The sequence below is a fragment of the Homo sapiens genome, chromosome 14 (assembly GCF_000001405.40).
Source record: "Homo sapiens chromosome 14, GRCh38.p14 Primary Assembly".
NCBI lineage: Eukaryota > Metazoa > Chordata > Mammalia > Primates > Hominidae > Homo > Homo sapiens.
Window position 1 is genome coordinate 98500179 of NC_000014.9, and position 18212 is coordinate 98518390.

The following is an 18212-nucleotide window of genomic DNA, read 5'->3' on the forward strand; positions in this document are numbered from 1 at the left end:
CACATAAAAGTCCTAGCTATGTATATGTAAATGTGGAGAAACAGGCTTAAACGGTGGATGCCAGAGTGAGAAGAGAGGACCCTCAGAAAACAGCGCCATGAAGAAAGACTGTCTTGGTCTTGACTTTCATAATGTCAAGAAAGGACTAACATTGTACTTGTGAAATTTTTTAAAAGCTAATTTAAGAAAAAACAAAAAAAAAAACCTGGAATACATTTGTTTTAATTTTCTTCTCCCCCAATATACTATGTATCAATGAGGTGAGAGAGATCATTAATTCATTTGTTTATTCATTCATCCATTCATTCATTCAATGAATATTTTCCAAGTGCTCACCATATATCTGGCCTTTGAGATCCTTCATTCTGGAGGACACCCCATGGGGCATGCCTTTCTCTTCTCTGGCAGAAATGAGTCCCTTTCCACCCAGCTCTCCCTTCTGGGAAACATCCAATCCAAACCAGAGACTCCACACCGCTGGATGTTACTGAAGTGATGCTTTCCACAAGCATGGTATATGGCTGGCAGCAACGCCTGGATCAGTCTTACTTGAAACAACAGCTGTTATCTCTTTATAAAAATTCAAGCAACCCTGAAAAGCAATGTTTTGCAATGTGTGATGTGTTGAATGCATAAAAGATACTAAATAGAGCTAAACAACTAGCAGGGGCAAAGGCCAGATGCTGTTCCAGAGAAATCCCGGACTTCATGACACCTGCTTCGCCTTGTCTCGCAGAGAGGTTTGTCCAGTCTTCCTGTTTGCAAGCACCTGAGTGTGGATGCTTAAAAAACACTTCCTCTAGCCGAATGGTATGGTGTCGTTCCTGTATTCTTTTTTTTTTTTTTTCCTGAGATGGAGTCTTGCTCTGTCGCCCAGGCTGGAGTGCAGTGGCGCAATCTCGGCTCACTGCAAGCTCCGCCTCCTGGGTTCACGCCATTCTCCTGCCTCAGCCTCTCAAGTAGCTGGGACTATAGGTGCTGGCCACCATGCCCATGTAATTTTTTTTTTTTCGGTAGAGATGAGGTTTCACCGTGTTAGCCAGGATGGTCTCAACCTGTACTCTTAAGTCACACAGAGGCCCCTGACCACCTATAGAGGAAAATAAAATCTCTTCAATGCAACACTTAAGGCTCTTCTTATTCTAGGCTCAGCTGGACAACTCCAGATCCATCCTCCCGGCTCCTTGTAGCCCTCCCTGGCTCCAAGCTACCTGTCTGTCTGTGGTTCCCAAGCATCCCTGACTACCTTCTTGCTCCTGTAATCTCTACTCTCGCTAAGGCCTTCGCTACTGCCTGCTCTTCTTCCCACAGAGCTTCCTCAACCTGCAGGCCCTGACCAAGCCTCACGTCACCTTCTCTGTTAAGTCCTGAGTCACCTGGGTGGGGCCAGTCATACTACAAGCTGTTCCAGCAGCCCTGGATTAACCTCTGTCTCTGCACGTGTTTTACTCCATTGCAGTGGTCCATTTCCTGAGCACTGGATAATGAACAGTTTGGGATTGAGGTCCAGGCCTTATAAAAAACCTTCACGCACATGTATGAAGTCTACGTTTTGTTCACAACCCCCCACTCACAAAATGCAATGGGGCAGCCACCTTTATGATTTCCATTTTTCAGATGAGAAAACTGAGATGAAGATAGGTTAAGGAATGTGTCCAGGTAACACATTTTCCAAGTGACGGATCTGTGGTCTGACTTTAGGCAGAATACATTTAGAATCTGAGTTTCAACATCTCTCTGCTCCCAGGACCTAGCTCAACTACTGGCACGTAAGAGATCAACACATACGGTGGGTTGGACCCTAGGTCTGAAGGGATAAGAAGCCTAAAGGCCCCATGGCCAGGCTTTTGAAGACCTGACTCACCCACCACATGGGATGACTCAGCTCAGAAACATGGACCCTCAGCCCAGCAGAATCCAGAAGCTTGATGCCCAACCTGTCCCCATCCACATCCCCAACTGGATGTGTGCTGTGCAATTCACCTAGGACATCACCCTGCCCCAGGCCTGTTTGCATCTTACTTTTTTCTCTGAGAAGTCCAGCGATATCTTACTTTCTCAATGACATCTCTCAATTACTCAAGGTCTCAAAATTCTTCCCCCAGCCCTCTGCATTTTCAGATTTAACTAACATGTATTACCATCAGCCATGAGCCACAACCACAGGCACTTTTCTGCACTTTGTTCATCTAGTCCTCCCCCAAATCCTAGGAGGTCAATGTTATTGTCTTCATTTTGCAAAAGTAAATATCAGAAGGATTCACGCCATGCAACAAAGGTACGGTAAATTAAGGATTCAGTTTCATGCTTGCATTTCTGCACCAACACGCATACAAGAGACAATTGCCAAGGTGCTAATGGCAATCAACACATTAGACCAGGATGGATTTTTTTTCACCAATTTTCACTTGTGCTTTTCTTCATGCATTTTTCCCTTACACCTGTGTTGTTTTGCAATATTTTATTTTGTAATGAAAACTTATGTTTTATTTTCATGACACATAAATCTTTGTTGGTTTAGATGTTACTCATATAAGAATGATGTTTCTTTTAGTCCATTATGCTCTCTTCTGTTTTCCTTGAAACACTTTCCTGGAGCATGGTCTGTTTCATTTTCCTCTTAACTCTACTGTGACTGAAATGACAATGCAGGTCAGATTGTAAGGGGCACCCCAACTGGAGAGACAGCAGGGGCTGGTGGGGACTGCACCAAACTAAAGATAATATATTAACACTTCATCTAAAGGGCACAGCTGGGACTAAAATTCAGTGGATTGTTTCCAGATTTCTTAATTATTCCCTTTTTAAAGATAATTGGGCAATAAAGATTTTTAAGTGAAATCTGAATTTACAATTTTGGCAACTAAATCAAATGGTTTTTCTTCCTTGTTTTCATATTTTATTTGTTTATTTGTCAAGAAAAACCAAATAGCACTTGTTTACAGTCCTGAACTAGCCTGAAATTGCTAGCTGGTGACCTGTTCTACAACATTGATAGCCACCTCTAACACACTACAGTACTTGAGTAACCTACCTTATCTACCTGATACATTAACACATATTTCATTAATTTCTTGCCTCTAACTACATCAAAAACTCCTCCAGGGCAGAGATGCTACCTGACTCAGCTTTGACAGCCCACAGGTTTTGCTTCCCGGGAAACTGAGCCATGAACATTTGTTTCTGATGCACTCTGATTAATTCACTTCATTCTCTCCACATAAAATACCAGAACAAAAAGAAACTATTTCCAAGTTAATTGTCAGGCGCTGATCATCATACTAACGATCTGATTTGTGCATTGTCTGATTTGATCTTACAAGTTCACTACAAGGCTCTCATAACCCCCAATTTAAAAGGTAAGGAAACTAAGGTGCGTCAAGGTTGAGAAATTCCTGTGTCAGATGTCAGCAGACAACTCATATCTGATTCCAGAGAACACCTTTCTGGTACTACCTCATACTCACACAAAAGCCAACACTCTCCCAAGGATTTTGTTTGAAAAGATGTGTTCCAGTTAAATGGCCTTTAAAAATGCAAACATAGAAAGAATGAGTCAAGTACTGCCGCTGTGATTAGAGTTTGTATGACTGCAAAATGCCAGTAGACTCCTCATAGACAGAGGGGCCGCTGATTGCTTAGGTATACGAGTGAAAATGCCTCCCTTTAAAATGCTGAAAGGCAAATCAAACCCTTTTTGGATGATTCTAATTCAAAGATGCTTTAAAGAGAATTTCTCCGCACCAGCCAGGGCATGTTGAAGAGACACGCAGAGAAACTATGACAAGCACCAGCCCCACTGGTCAGTTGAGACTTGTCCCTCAAGAGTATGTGAATCGAGGTCACTGCAGGTCAGAGAGGGTTCTCAGGAACCCGTGAGCTTCTGCCTTTAAATCAACATAACCCATACTCATGAGCCCCACCCAACGCCTTTAACCCTCCAAGAGCAGCCGCCATAAAGCAGAACTTGTTCCAGAGAGTAATGGAAGAACCTTGATCTTATCTCGAGCAGTGTATTATTGCTGTGTGGCTTTGGACAAGTCATTTAGCTTCTTTGGAGTTATTACCCATACAACCTGCACCTGGTGAGGAAAGAGATGCTGTCTAAGGCCCCTTTCCAGCTCTGATGGCTGAAGATTCCGTTAACTCCTCCCAGCCCAAGTTCTGATTGGTGGTCTCTCTATATTGGTGGTATTTTTCAGCATGTTCTTCCTCCTGGACACCCAGGCACAGAAGCCAGGGGTCCCTGTTTTGTTAGTTGGTTTATTGCTGTTTTAAGAAACCAATAATGGCAAACACTTCTAAGTGCTTTATAATTTATTCTTTAATCTTCACAACATCCCTGTGGAGTAGATGCTATGGAGAAACCAAGGCAGAGAGTGATCAAGCATTTTGCCCAAGGTCACACAGCTAGGAAGTGTAGAATCTGGGATTTGAACTTAGGTCTGTGGGCTTCGGAGAACTTGTTCTTTATGACTTTACCAGTATTTCCCAAGCTTGTCTCAAATTAGGATCACCTGGGAATCTGAAAATTTCCAAAGCTAAGGTCATACCCTGTACCCATTAATTCACCATCTCTAGGGTAGGATACAGGCATGAGTGCTCTTGGGAGCTCCCTTGGTGCTCCCAGTGTGCCGACAAGTTTGGGAACTTCTGCATCAGCCTATAAAGCTCCCTCTAGTCTAGGGTTCGGGGATGAGACGATCAGGGAGTGGAGAGAGATAAGCCTCTCCACTCTGAGTTTACGTCCTGGCTCTGCCTTTTAATGGCACCTGCAAGCCTTTGCAAGCTACCCAATGGCTCTGGGACTGTGTCTTCTCTCTTGCCCCAACACTCTTTGCTTCGTTATTTGTTCAGTGATCTTGAAGAAGCCACCCAATATTTCTAAGGCTCTGTTTTCTTTCCTTTAAAATGGCTTTCTAATACTTATCCAAGGGTTCTTATGAAGAGTAAAGGAAATAAACTATGTGAAAATGTCATCTGTTAAAAAAGTACGCTGAATTAAAATGACCACCTACCTCCAGCAATCTCAGATAAACACACACATGCACCAGTTCAGACAACACAAGCAGACACACACACACACATGCACCCACCTCAGACAACACAAGACACACACACACACAGTTCAGACAACAGAGGCACACCCACACCCACACACATACACTCAGTTCAGACAACACAGGCAGACACACACATACACACACACACACATCCACCAACGGCAAGAAAATACATCTAATCCGATACCTGTATTAAACATTAACAGCTTAGTTTTCATTTGCATTTTATAAAGACATCATCAAAATCTCCCATTCTCCTTATGCTTGATAGCTGTGTGTCTTTATTTAAGTTCAGAGAAGAAAAGGCTACATCGGCTAAAGATGTTTTCCTGCCTAGAATGACAGTGGTGGTGAAGGCTTTTTCATAAATTTGAAAAATAAAAGTGTTTTCATTTTCTTGTTGCTATAATAACCTTGCAAGAGATAGAAATGAGAGTCTATTTTCTAACTGAAATTGTTTTCCTCAAGCGTAGGCTCACTCTTCACACTGTTGGCTATTATTGTGGGGTTGCTAATGAATGTTGACCTACTAGCACTTGCAATAATGCATTCTTTTAAATACGACAGTGATGTCTTAAATTACAGGGAGGTTTCAAATAAGAGGATAATGTCTGTTTTACTTGGGTGGCACCATTCATTAGAATTGTTTTTTACCAATATAGTTAATAGAATAATCCTTATTCAAGTTTAGTATTTTATCACTGCAAGATGCCAGAATATCATCACTCACTCTAATATTGGCTCCTTGCTCCATCTAAATTGGTCTCTTCACGCTGAAGTGTCACTCTTTTAAGAATCCTTTAAATGTATCCCCAACTCTAAAACCTCTTTTCTCCATCTCTCTCTCAAGCTTCTCCCGCCTATCTCATCTCCCTGTCTCACTACACCAATGCACCCTCCCACTGCCACCAGAATTAGCTTCTAGAAGCACAGATCCAATATCATCCTTTTGATTTAAAACTTCTTCTGGCTTTCTGATGTGTATGAGAAAAAAGCATGGTACCTGGATGCCTTAGGGACCTGGATCTCCTACAAGTCTCCACTAGTCTCCTTGAGCTCCAGGCCACGGAACTTTTCTGCATTGTCTAACAATGCCATGATCTTTCACACTCTGATGTCTTTGCTCCTATAGTTATTTTTGCTTATATTAGGAAAGAAGTGAGAGAAATTATCATTTCTTCAGCAATTAGTATGCACTGTGGGCTTGGTAGCACTCCACATACATCATCTCTTTCCTACTATCCTCACTCCAACACATCCTTCAAGATGAAATGCAATGCCCCTAACCCAGTGAAGCCTTCCCAGATGTCTCAAGGATAGCCTTCTCTTCTCCCTGCCCATCATATCCTGAGCTATAATAGCACTGTGTTTTAAGACACGATTCCTAACTACACAGCCTGAATGAAGATTCTTTTGTATGTAACTTATTGAGAGAGAGCTCTCAGGTAAAACCTGTAAGAAAAGTGAATAGCAAGATGGTGCTGGGGAAGAAGACATGGTTTCAGCTGAAGTCTAGCCTTACCCTGATCCCAAGGGGAGCTCTGAGGCATAACCTGTTCTGCTTTGAAATCAGTGGCAGGCTTCTTTGCTCCCTATCAGCCAGTCATTGGCTATAGGCCATGTTTTGGATAATGGATGAGGAGACAGGACCTCCTGAGCAGCACTGGGCTGGGTAAGGCTGCCCCACTGGCCATGTTAATTTCCTGGGAAGTGTAAATCTATGAGCCACTGGCAGCCGACACTCAGCGGCTGAAAGATGACTGCAACAGTCTGGTTGAAGTGATCTGAAGGTTTATTACAAACTGTGCTTCCTTTATTTTATTTATTTATTTATTTTCTACAAGGCTCCCTTTCATTAGCCTGGGAGACTCATGGAAATTGTGAATATGTCTTCTTTATATTAAATCCTGAGAGCCTAGCTCAATATTAGAAATGTAGTAGGAGCACTATGTTGTTTTAAATAAGTGACTGTATTACTTTAAATGAATGGCCTATAATCATTAGAGAATAGTTCTAGACTCTAAGAATTTAATAAGCTACCGGATAGGATTCTAGACTTCTGGAAATTTGCTGTCCACTTGGGGAGATGAGGAACACTCATACTGAATAACTGGAACTCTTTCCAAGGTTGTATGAAAAGAATGGCATGTACAGTATTGAATTCCAGGCACTGTGCTAGGCATTTGGCACATGAGATATGTGCAAAAATCAGTTGGTTCTTTGACCAAAGTTGTCGACAGATGAATAATTACAGTATTACTCACTCCTCTGACTTCTGTAAGAGAAAGATCTCTGCATGCTAGTTCAGGTCAAGAGCTTTCCACTGCTGTAAAGAATTTGGGAATTAAGCAAGGAAGAGAGAAAGTTAAAAAAAAATCCATAAAGACCATAGTATCCATGCAATAGAGAGAAGAAAAAGAGGGAGAAGGGAGAAGAATAAACAGATAAGCTAGGAGTTCTCTGTTTGGAATTGCAAGCAGAGAGTAAAAGTGTTGAGAATTAGGTATTGGGGATTTTAAATGTGACAGAGATCAGAAAAGAGGAATTTTTAGATGGTTGATGTGTATTAATTACGTATTCTTCCTCTTTCTTTGACATTTCTTTCACAAGATAAATACGTTGTTAAGTACTTTCAGCTACCTTTTGGTTGCTGGAATGTATCTGTTTGAATGCAGTGCTATGTTGAGATAGTAGCACAGGAGGCCCGGGATTTATTTGGGTTATACACAGAATATCTCATTGCTGCGGTGATGATGTTTGTGTCCCCCTAAACCCATATGTTGAAACCTAATCTCCAATGTGATACTTTAAGACATGGGTCCTGTGGGAGGTGATGAGGTCATGAGGTTGTGGTCCTCATAAATGGGATTAGTGCCCTTATAAAAATAGCCCAGAGAGCTGCCTTGCCTTTCCACCACTTGAAGACACAGCTAGAAGGCCCCATCTGTGAACCGGGAAACAGACCCTCACCAGACACCAAACCTGCCAGTGTCTTGATCTTGGACTTCCCCAGCCTCCAGATCTGTTAGAAATAAACTTTTGTTGTTTATAAGCCACCCAGCCTAAGGTATTTTGCAATAGCAGCCTGAACAGACTGAGGCACTGATATAATGGGTATTAAACTCATTTTAATCGTAAAGTGACTAAGGCTCAAATAGGTTAGATAAGGTGTCCAAAAGGCATGCACATTTCAGAATTTGACTCCAAGTTTTTCAGACTTCCAATGCATACTCTGGTGACTCTGCTACACAACATCCCTGGTAAAGAATACATTGAAGTTCAGCCCCATGAGAAACTCCTGGGGAAAACTCACATGAACCTTGACTCCACCTTCCTGAGGACTTGACTTGAGGTGGTGCAGCGTCGAGAGAACTCTCTGTGACATGGGATGAAAAGGACAGCCTTATCAGGAGAAATGGACCTTCAGCTGGGCCTGGAGTCTGGATCTGATATCTCCATCCAAGCTCTCTAATTTCAGAGACTGCCCAGGCCCATTTGGTAATGAGCAAATTGAAGATAGGCATTAAACAAAAGAAAAAACATCACCCTGCTATTTCAGGCAAAACTATTGAAGTTATTTTTGTAGACTCAAACCAGATTGGCCGACTTCTGTGCTAAAAAATTAATTCACTTCAAGAATTACTGAGATTTGTTCTTTCTTATTTGCCTTAGATGACACCAAATAACTGGTGAGATGGGAATGCTTCCCTCTTCCCTCTTTGTTTTTGAAGTTGTATTGATACAGCCATCAAGCTGTCATTCAAAGCATCTGAAAGAAGCAGTATTTTCCCTTCCCTAAACTCTCTTGTTTTGAGAGACACTACTCACCTGTTTCAACAGCTTAAAATTATGTCGAGAGCTAGATCCCACTTGCAAAATGAAATTTTTTCATTCTTCACTTGCAAGAAAACCCCAATGCGTGATAGAAAGGCAAAACTGAATTTGGAGTCGCATGCTGAAAGCTGCCAACTGAGACATTGGGCACATCATGTCGTGTCTTACAACCTTGGTTTCCTCCTCTATCATGTGAAGGATGATTAATTCTTGGCCTTGCCCCTTTGTAGGATGGTTAAAGAGATGAAATTAAATAAGAGATAAAAGCAAAGCTTTCTATACTGTGAACTATTGTGCACATGTAAGTGGTTATTATTAATTAGTTTGGTTTAGAGCATAAAGTGGTTTCCTAAAGCTTAAATAATAAGCACGTAAAGAACCAAGAGGAGAAATATTTATAGAAAAGATGTTTGCTTTCCCTTGCATGAATTATCAATTGCTCTCATCTGGTGTTTTAATTAACAAGGTGTGTGATTTTTTAATTTAAATAAGATTAAGTCTCTGGAAAGAAGAATAGCAGAAGAACATGAATTATATAATAAAAAATACCTAACAATGGTTGAGATGAAGTGATTATCTAGAAACAGAAAGAATCTTGTTAAACTCTTGGAGGGGACTATACTGATTAGTTCTATTGTTGAGGTTGCATTTTTTTTTCCACTTCAGATAACATTCACCTATTTTCAAATTCCTTTTCGGACTTTATATCTTTCTCACATCCTAATACATTTTTCTGACACTTCCCTATCAGGTTCTATGGCATAATCAGAAAGCAAAAGGCCCATATTGAAGGAAACAGTGACGTCTATGGCTTTTCCCAGAAGGAAGCCCGTGAGTTCCTTTAGAATCCTGCAAAATCAGGAGATGATTCGTTGGGTCACCGGGGACAAAAGACTGGGAGCACCTGTATTTCTTCTCACTCATTATTTACATACACTGCATCACAAAAAGAGGCTAATTTCTTAGTATTTCAGGTTCCTTTCCCGCTTGCCCTTCCCTATGTCTCCCAGCCTAAGGCAAAACTTCCATCCCTGGGAAGACATCGCAGTGGTCTCCAAAGGATGTCCAGCCTCCAGCCTGACAATCCCAGTCCCGGATGTATGTCCCAGTCAGAGACTATTCACAAACAACATGAGAAGACTCCCACTTCCAGCTAACTTGTACTAACAGGGACCACACATTCATTCTCACTTGAGTCAATTGAAAAACAACAACAAAATATTTAGAACAACAGTTTTAATCAAATTAACGTGAGGCAAAAAAGCAGGGTTCCCTGAAATATGGGCAGCGCATGAAGTAAACCCTATCATTTCCCCCCAGCTTACTGCTTAGACAGAGTTTTTAGAACACTGGGGAATAGAGGCAGAGCCCAGTGTCTTCCTGAGGTGAAGCAATGCAGCTGGGAGGCCATGGAGGGAAGGACTGCAGGAGTTTTCAGAATGAAGTAGCAGAAAGGAAAGAGCTACACAGGAAGAAAAACTCTGAGAAAGGCTTTTCTCTAATCTTCAACAGAATCCAGTAGTCTCTCTTACCCGTGGTTTTGCTTTTCACGGTTTCAGTTACCCGAAGTAAAGTACAATAAGGTATTCTGAGAGAGAGAGAGAGATCACATTCACATAACTTTTATGACAGTATATTGTTATGTGTTCCATTTTTATTATTCTTGTTAGTCTCTTACTATGCCTAAGTTATACATAAAACTTCATCATAGGTATGCATGTATTAAAAAGCATTGTATATACAGGGTTTGGTAATACTCAGGGTTTCAGGCACCCACTGGGGGTCTTGGAATGTATCCTTTAAGAGTAAGAGGAGACTATTGTACTGGTCATTGCATCCATGCGAGAAAACTCCTCAAGGAGAGAGCTGCCTGAAAGGATAACAGGGAACTGTCTTTAGATACCTCCAGAAATAATTTCTGTTCTCTCCAGCCAGAGTGGAAAACACACAGCTCGGAGTATTGGGTAGAATTCTCAAAGCAGTGTTACCTCTGTTGCAGAGAAAAATTAGCTCTAGACTAAATACTGCTCTGGTCCCTCCTAACAAAGCTTAAAAGCAAGATTTAAAAGACTCAAACTATGTTTAAGTAACTTAGCCAGGACCTGAAACAAAGTTCAAAAATACTTTTTCAAACACAAAAATGTCTAGCACCCAACAAGACTAAATTTACCATGTTTGGCATCTAATAAAAAATTACCAGGCATCCGCACAAGGAGGAAAATACAGATGGCAATGAGAAGAAAAACCAGTCAAAATTAACCTAGAAACTACACACATAATAGAATGAGTAGACAAAAAGTAAAGTAGATAAATAGAACATACAAAAAGACCAAATTAAGCTTTTAGAGGTAAAAACTACAGTGCTTAAATTGAAAAATGCACTAAATAGGATTAAGGAAAGATTAGATATTGAAGAAGGAAGTATTACGAAACTCGAAGTCAAAACAATAGACAGTTTTCAAACTAAACAAAGTGAACAACAAAATGGGGAAAAATTAAACCAAGTATCAGTGAGTTGTGTGATGACTTCAGTCTAATATATGTCTAAAGAGTAGAAGGAAAAGAGGAGTACTTTGATTATGGTGATGGTTTTATAGATGGTGTCAAAACTCATCAAATCATGCACAAAAAAGATACAGTTTAATTCTGGTCAATTAAGTATCCATAAAGGTGTTTTTAAAAACACACCAAATATGGCCCTATTCCTCCCAGTCTTATTCTTTCAGTGGCTTTCTATAATTGTCAGAGTGAAGGCTGGGCTTTGGGGGAGCAATCTGACCATTCCCTACAACCATTTCTGGGCTGCTCCTCTATACCCCTTCACTTTCAACCTATTTGAAACTCACTCACTCATCAGGTCCTGGACCATGACTTTGCTGCTCTTCCACCATTGCTTTATTGTTCCCTCTTAGAATGCGCTTTGGCCATATCCTCCAGTTAACTCCTACATACTTTCAGACTTCACTTCTAGTTTCCCTCTGCAAAATTGTCTTGAATCCCCTTCTCTCATTCCTGCCTTGACTCTTCACAGTGGGAGATTCATACCTCTTTCCACAGCTTGTGCATTCTCCCCATCTGTCCCGTCCCACTCTACTGTGGGTTACATGAGAGAGGGATTTTATTTATCACTGTGATCTTCAGTAGCAGAAGTAGTGGAGGTAGTCATATTTCTTTCTGGTCCTGCTGTGCTTAGCATAGTATTGAGTACACAGTAGGAGCAATGGATATTTTTGAAATAATATATGAAAAAGATAATTTGGAGAGTTTACCCAGAATATGTCCTAGCCCAGGGAATCTCAAATCCACAAAGAAAGGGTCACATTTAGATTCTTGCAGAGAGCAAAACAGGATGGCCTGTGGAAGTTCTACGTTTTTACTCCCGGGGCTCACAGATCAATCTAGAGATGGAGAATCTTTGTTAATGGAAGAAGGGGTGGAAAGAGAGAGAGAAGACGAGGAGGTAATCTCGGTCTTCCCAAGGCAACTTAAAGCAAACAATGCTTTCTAATCTTCCAAACAGCTGTCAGGTTAAAAAGACGTGGTTTATATTCAAAATGTCTATTTTTAGCACACTGGTGGAGATGAGAGTTATGCTTAGGTGATTAATAGCAAAACTCTCATCTGATAAACCAAGCTCATGCTATCGCTTTCATTTTCATGGGGGAAAACAGGGAATTTCTCAGGTCCCTTTACCCCAGGAAATCTCAGTACTTTTCCTCTTACCTTTTCTCTGAAGGTGGCTCTGGCTGTGTTGCAGAACAGAGACACACTTGTGAAATATTCAGGAGCTGAAGTCCCCCAGTTCTGTCTTTTTCTCAGTTTAAACAGTGAGCAGGTAAAAAAGGTGTAAGGCAACGTGTCTGTGAGTCTCTTTTGAAATCTTTGCTTGAATTACATTGTTATCTGCACTTCTGAGCAACAGACAACTGGGCCATTGAGCATGAGGAAGACCGAATGCCAGGCAGTCAGCACCCCACGCTGCTCTGCTGGGGTTTAGGCTGCTGGGGGAGGCAAAGGGAGGAGTCCCAGGAAGGCAGAGGAGAAGATGATTTTCTCCACCAAGGACTTTCAGGAAGCTTAGAGCTCCCTGTGCCGTCTGAGCACCGAGCTCCCCTACGAGATTCAACTCAAAGTTTGGCTTCAAAATAAACTCCAGGCAACTGAAAGACAGTACTTAGGCACTTAAATTAAAATCAAGCGTGAGATGAGTGGTTTTGTTTTCTATGGGGAGGTGGGCAGTTGAATTTTTAACATCTTTTATTGTTGTAATCTTCAAACATACGTAAAAATAAAGAGGAAAGCATAAACATTCTTATTCATTAATCACTTAGTTTCAACAACGATTAAACTTTATTTTTTTAATTAGAGGGAAGGAGCAATATATATGACTAACATGTCATGGGCACCAGGGGGTTGGAGGTAAAGCAACGTGGGCTTTGCAGGGATCGACTTTGGATTCAAAATCCTCAGCACCCTCTCACAGGGTATGACTACAGCCAGTTTCCTAATTTCAGAGTCCCACTTCACTTATTACACAATATAAATGAAGGTATCTATGTGACAGAATCATATTGTATACAAATTGAATAAGAAGTATAGAACCAGTCCCAGAGCAGGTGCTTAGTACGACCACGATGATCACTGTCTTGAGATGCATCAGTTAATCATCTCACAGGAATAAAAGCCCAGGGGAAAGTCAGAATATTTTAACCCAGGCCAAGTCAGGCAGAGGCCTGAATCTGGCAGGTAGGGGATTTTCCCAATATGTTTTCATGGAAACAATCTATGCCAAAAAGCCTCAAGTTCGCACATGTTACAAATAAGACAGATGCATTTCTAATGGCAGAGGAAGGGAAAGACTACATAGAATTTATTTCTTTGTCTTCTAATTTCATAGCAAACAGTTAACCATTTACAATCTCTGTAAGGTCTGTGGGGTTTCAGTGCTGAAACTCTAACACATATTGCCTAGGTGAATGGCCCTCAATCATGGGCAATTTTGCCCTCCAGGGGATATTTAACAATGTCTGGAGACAATTTTGGTTGTCATAACTGGGGCTGGGCAGGGTGGCTAGTGGTAGCTAGTGGGTAGAGGTCATGGATGCTGCTAAACATTTTACAGTGCACAGGAAATACCCACCACCACCACAGCATAAAATTACATAGCCCTAAGTGTCATTAGTACTGGGGCTGAAAAAACCTTTGGATAGCCCCAAACAGATCAAGCTTTGAGGTCAGCAGAATTGTATTGAATCTTGACTCTGTAGCTTACTAGCTTGGGCAACTTTCTGTAAATTTCTCTCTGTATAATTTGGGGAAGAGAATACCTTTACAGGTATGTCTGCTTAATCTAAGATAATATGTAGAATGTGTTGAACTTTGTACTTGACAACATGTAGACACTCAATAAGTGGCAACTACTGAAATTGCTCATTCATTGTTGTAGTTTGTGATATTGTCAATAATAATACTCAATTTATTTTTTAGAAACTTTGATAAACCAAGTGAAGATCTAGATCTGCAGAGAAACACTAATCCTGACTTAGGAGCCTGGTGTGAAAAATCAGAAACTGCCAAGGGAAACTGTACTCAAAAGAGCACTGGATATGGGGTCATTGAGGAGCAGGTGGACTCTCCACTGGGAAATGGAAAACATCAACTTTTAACCCTAGTTTTTCAACCATAGCACTATTGACAATTAGGCCTAGGTAATTCTTTGTTGCCATAGGGGTCTGCCCTGGACACTGTAGGATATGCGACAGCATCCCTGAACTCCACCCACTAAATGCCAATAGCATCTCCATGCCCTTAGTGTGATAGCCAAGATGTGTCTTCAGACATAATCAAAATAACCCCCAGTTGAGAACTAGTGATTTGAACAAATAATGGCAAATACAGAGTATTCTGCCAACAACACCACACACTGTCCTTTCAGCCTCCACCCCCACCCCATCCCTAAAGCAGGTGCCACTCATCACTCCTGGCACCATATGCTGCTGAGCCCAACATAGACCTAGATATTGTGTCCACCCAGCATACCAGACAACCACTGTAGATCTATTCTTTTGAAACTTTTTACCCATTCAAATTTAGACTCCTCCTGTCCATGCCTTAATTTGCTTCTCTGCAGCATATGAAGTATCTTCTACTTCTCAACAAAGTCTCCTGGCTGCCCCCACCTCCCGTGCCCTAATTACCGATTGTCTTGAACATCCATTCCCGCTATCATTCCACTGGTCCACCTTCGACAGTCCTTCCAATGCACTGGATACCATTAAGGTGCTTTCTCAGAGATTCCTGAATTTCTCTCCTGTTTATTAAAATGCAGGTTTCTCCAAGATGAAAGGGTTAGTGATTATTTTTCGATATTAATGTTATTGTTTTCCTGAAGCTTCTGTTGTTCCGTAATTCAAGGACCCCTTGTCGAATCCCATATGTAGCATGTTTATTAGATGTAATATTTTATCTCTCGGACTCAGTGCCTGACACTATCATTTCCTTCTTATTTCAATAAAAATGATCTCCCTCCTCGTGGTTCTGACAGGAGCTAATGGTTTTCTTTATCACAAGAGAAAGTAAGAGTGGGCAGTGCTAAAAGACAAAATGAACTGTATATATTTGTGCCTTAATTCAATTTATACCATAAACTCCAATCTTAACAAAGTAACTTCCTAGTATTAGATAGAACAAAAGAAAAAGCCACTGTGAAAGTCTAGGGGCTGCCAATTTTTCTGGATTTGCAGATGGTAGATTTGAAAAACAATATTTAAATGTAACTTTGTGGAAATAGAAGGCACCTGCCCCAAATGGCTCAAGTGATTTCTGATTTTCCTTCCTTTTTTTTTTTCTGTCTTTTTACTTCTTGGTGTATATGGGGGTGTGGAGAAGCTTTCCGTCCCTGTAGCTTAATCAAGTGCTAATAGAAGCAAGTACAATGATAATTGACAGAAGCACAATATTAGCTGTTTGATGAGAATTCCTCTCTGCATGTAAATTCCAGGTGGATTCTGCCAAGCCTTGTAAATTTGTTACCAAAAAAAAAAAAATAAATAACCTTTTTTCAGTGCACAGTTGGGTCATGAACATTCCCGTAGGGAGCTAGGAGTTTTATATCAAATGCCAAACCATTGTGAAAATAGGATTGTTTGAAAAGCACTTCCTAGATACTATGTGGAGATGAAGATATGAGACAAAATTTGGAGCTTTACAAGTGCCGGCAACAGCGGGTCACCCCATTGTGTAGCGATCTCTCCATCTGTCTACGTTTGTGCAGAGAACCAATGTCTTTGAGTGCTACATGAAGGTCAAAAGCTCCAGGCATAGCCCAACTTGGTTTGGGGTTCAGGGTCTGTAACTACCCAGCTGTGTAATCCCAACAAACATGTCTTAACCGGGGCAAGTGTTTGATCCTATAGAATGAGGACATGAGAATCTAGCCCCTTGGGTTACTGTCAGAAATAAATGACACCTCTGTTCAGTGTTCAGTCATTCCTGCTACACACTAAGAACTCAATAAATGGCTACTCTACTCTTGCCCTATTATCCTGTTGCTCTCTTCAGTCAACATTGTTACATTCAGCCCTGGGGATTCTGACACGGAGTGGGCTGGAAGTCTCCATTCAAATGTCAAATCCACCAGTACTTGCAAGGCGCCCACTGGGACAGTATCCTGGAGTAGGTGTTGTAGGGAATTCAGAGATGAGTTTGACATGATCCCTGACTCCCACGGGCTCATTAGCTCTGGGGGAAGTATTTGTAAACACCATCCATTGCATATTGATGGCATGTCTCTACACTGACAGTAGGTGCATTGCTGCAGACCGGTGTGCTGTTGTTCAGGTAGAAGTGCTACTTCACAGAGTTTGAGTCCCTTTAGGGTAAGGCAAGTGCCGCTGCTGAATCACTTTTGCATCCCCAGTGTCTAGCACAGAGCCCAGCTCATTCACTCATTCATTCATCATGTGTTCATCAGCAACATGTTTACTGAGGACCCACCATGTAGCAGATGATGATAGGGATGCATTGATGAACAAGGCAAACTTATGATCCCTGAGCTTATAGACTTTGCATTTTGTTCAGGACAAAAGGCAGTAACCAGGCTCTAGCATCACACCTAGCAAAGAGACTTGAAACTGAGTCTTTGTTAGGTGAATAAATGAAAGTAAACACATACATATACACAAAGTCAATTCAGGTAGATGGTGTCATGAAAAAAGGAGCGAGGATGCTACAAGAGAGTAGTGCAGGAGGATGTGAGTTGATGTCAGGATCAGTGGGAAGTTTCTCAAGGAAGGATAAAGCACTGGAATCTTCTATTGACTTGGTATGCAGGACTTCCAAGGAAGACTTCCCTTCGGCTTGGCTGTGATGCTTCTAGCCTTCCTAGCTCATATTTCTCCCTTCTTACTGTACAAACTCTGTGTTTTCTTTGGGATGCCTGTCATCTGGGTGTGCAGTGGAAATGTGAAGTCTTGCCCTTTGAGAAAGCTAGGAATGAGAGTATATGCATTATCCTTCTTCAGGGAGTCATACAGTTTGCCATAGAGGGAGTTCTTAGGAGACTTGTTCAAAGGGAATTCTGCCAATGAGATCACACTTGGAAATGTTAACACATTCCATGCCTCTACTAACTTATTCACTGATTTGACAACTAATAATCTGGTTCTTCCATGTGCCAAGCTCTGTGTTAGATCCTAGGCTACAAGGGTGAGGAAAACAGCAGGTGCCAATACAGTTCAGCCAGTCCAGGTCAGCAGCCATTCAATACTTCTTCTGTTCCATGCACGCTGCTCAGTAGAGAGATTCTGAGAGGACCAACATAGAGTCCTGCTGGTTGGACAGTCCTTCTAGTGATAGAGACAGAGGCATTAGCATCCAAGTTCAATATTCTGAGATAGTAACAATTTTTTGCTGTAATCCAGGGTCTGTCCCTTGCTAGCAGAAGTGGCAGCTGGTGGGCCAGGTACCACCTGCTTCTCACTGAGGAAACATGACTGTATCACCTCTCCAAGCACAACCTAGCCATTATTAGAATTCTGTGGAATTAGAATGGGACTCACTTCAACAAATTACTGCTGCATTCTAGTTAGGACCTCTGAACCCCATCAAGGGACGAAGGACACACAAAGGAAATAAATCCAACCTCTGGCCTCAGGAAGCTCTCAGGCTAGTTTATCCACCGACTGCAGGTACATTTATTCCTCAATGCTTTTAATTCTCCCATTTTTAAAAAGATCAATAGCGTCTCCTAGCAAGACCCACAGACTAAAAGAGCAGGGATTACTTCATAAACAGCCATCATTTGTTCATGCCTAC

General features: G+C 41.4%; 1 annotated feature.

Moving 5' to 3' along the window:
* Window positions 786–1985: an enhancer, noted in NCBI's record as "CDK7 strongly-dependent group 2 enhancer chr14:98967301-98968500 (GRCh37/hg19 assembly coordinates)". NCBI's record gives its function as "activates an origin of replication core promoter dependent on BRD2, BRD4, P300/CBP, MED14 and CDK7 cofactors, with strong dependence on CDK7, by STARR-seq in HCT116 cells {active_cell/tissue: HCT116}" and the evidence as "EXISTENCE:reporter gene assay evidence [ECO:0000049][PMID:35650434]".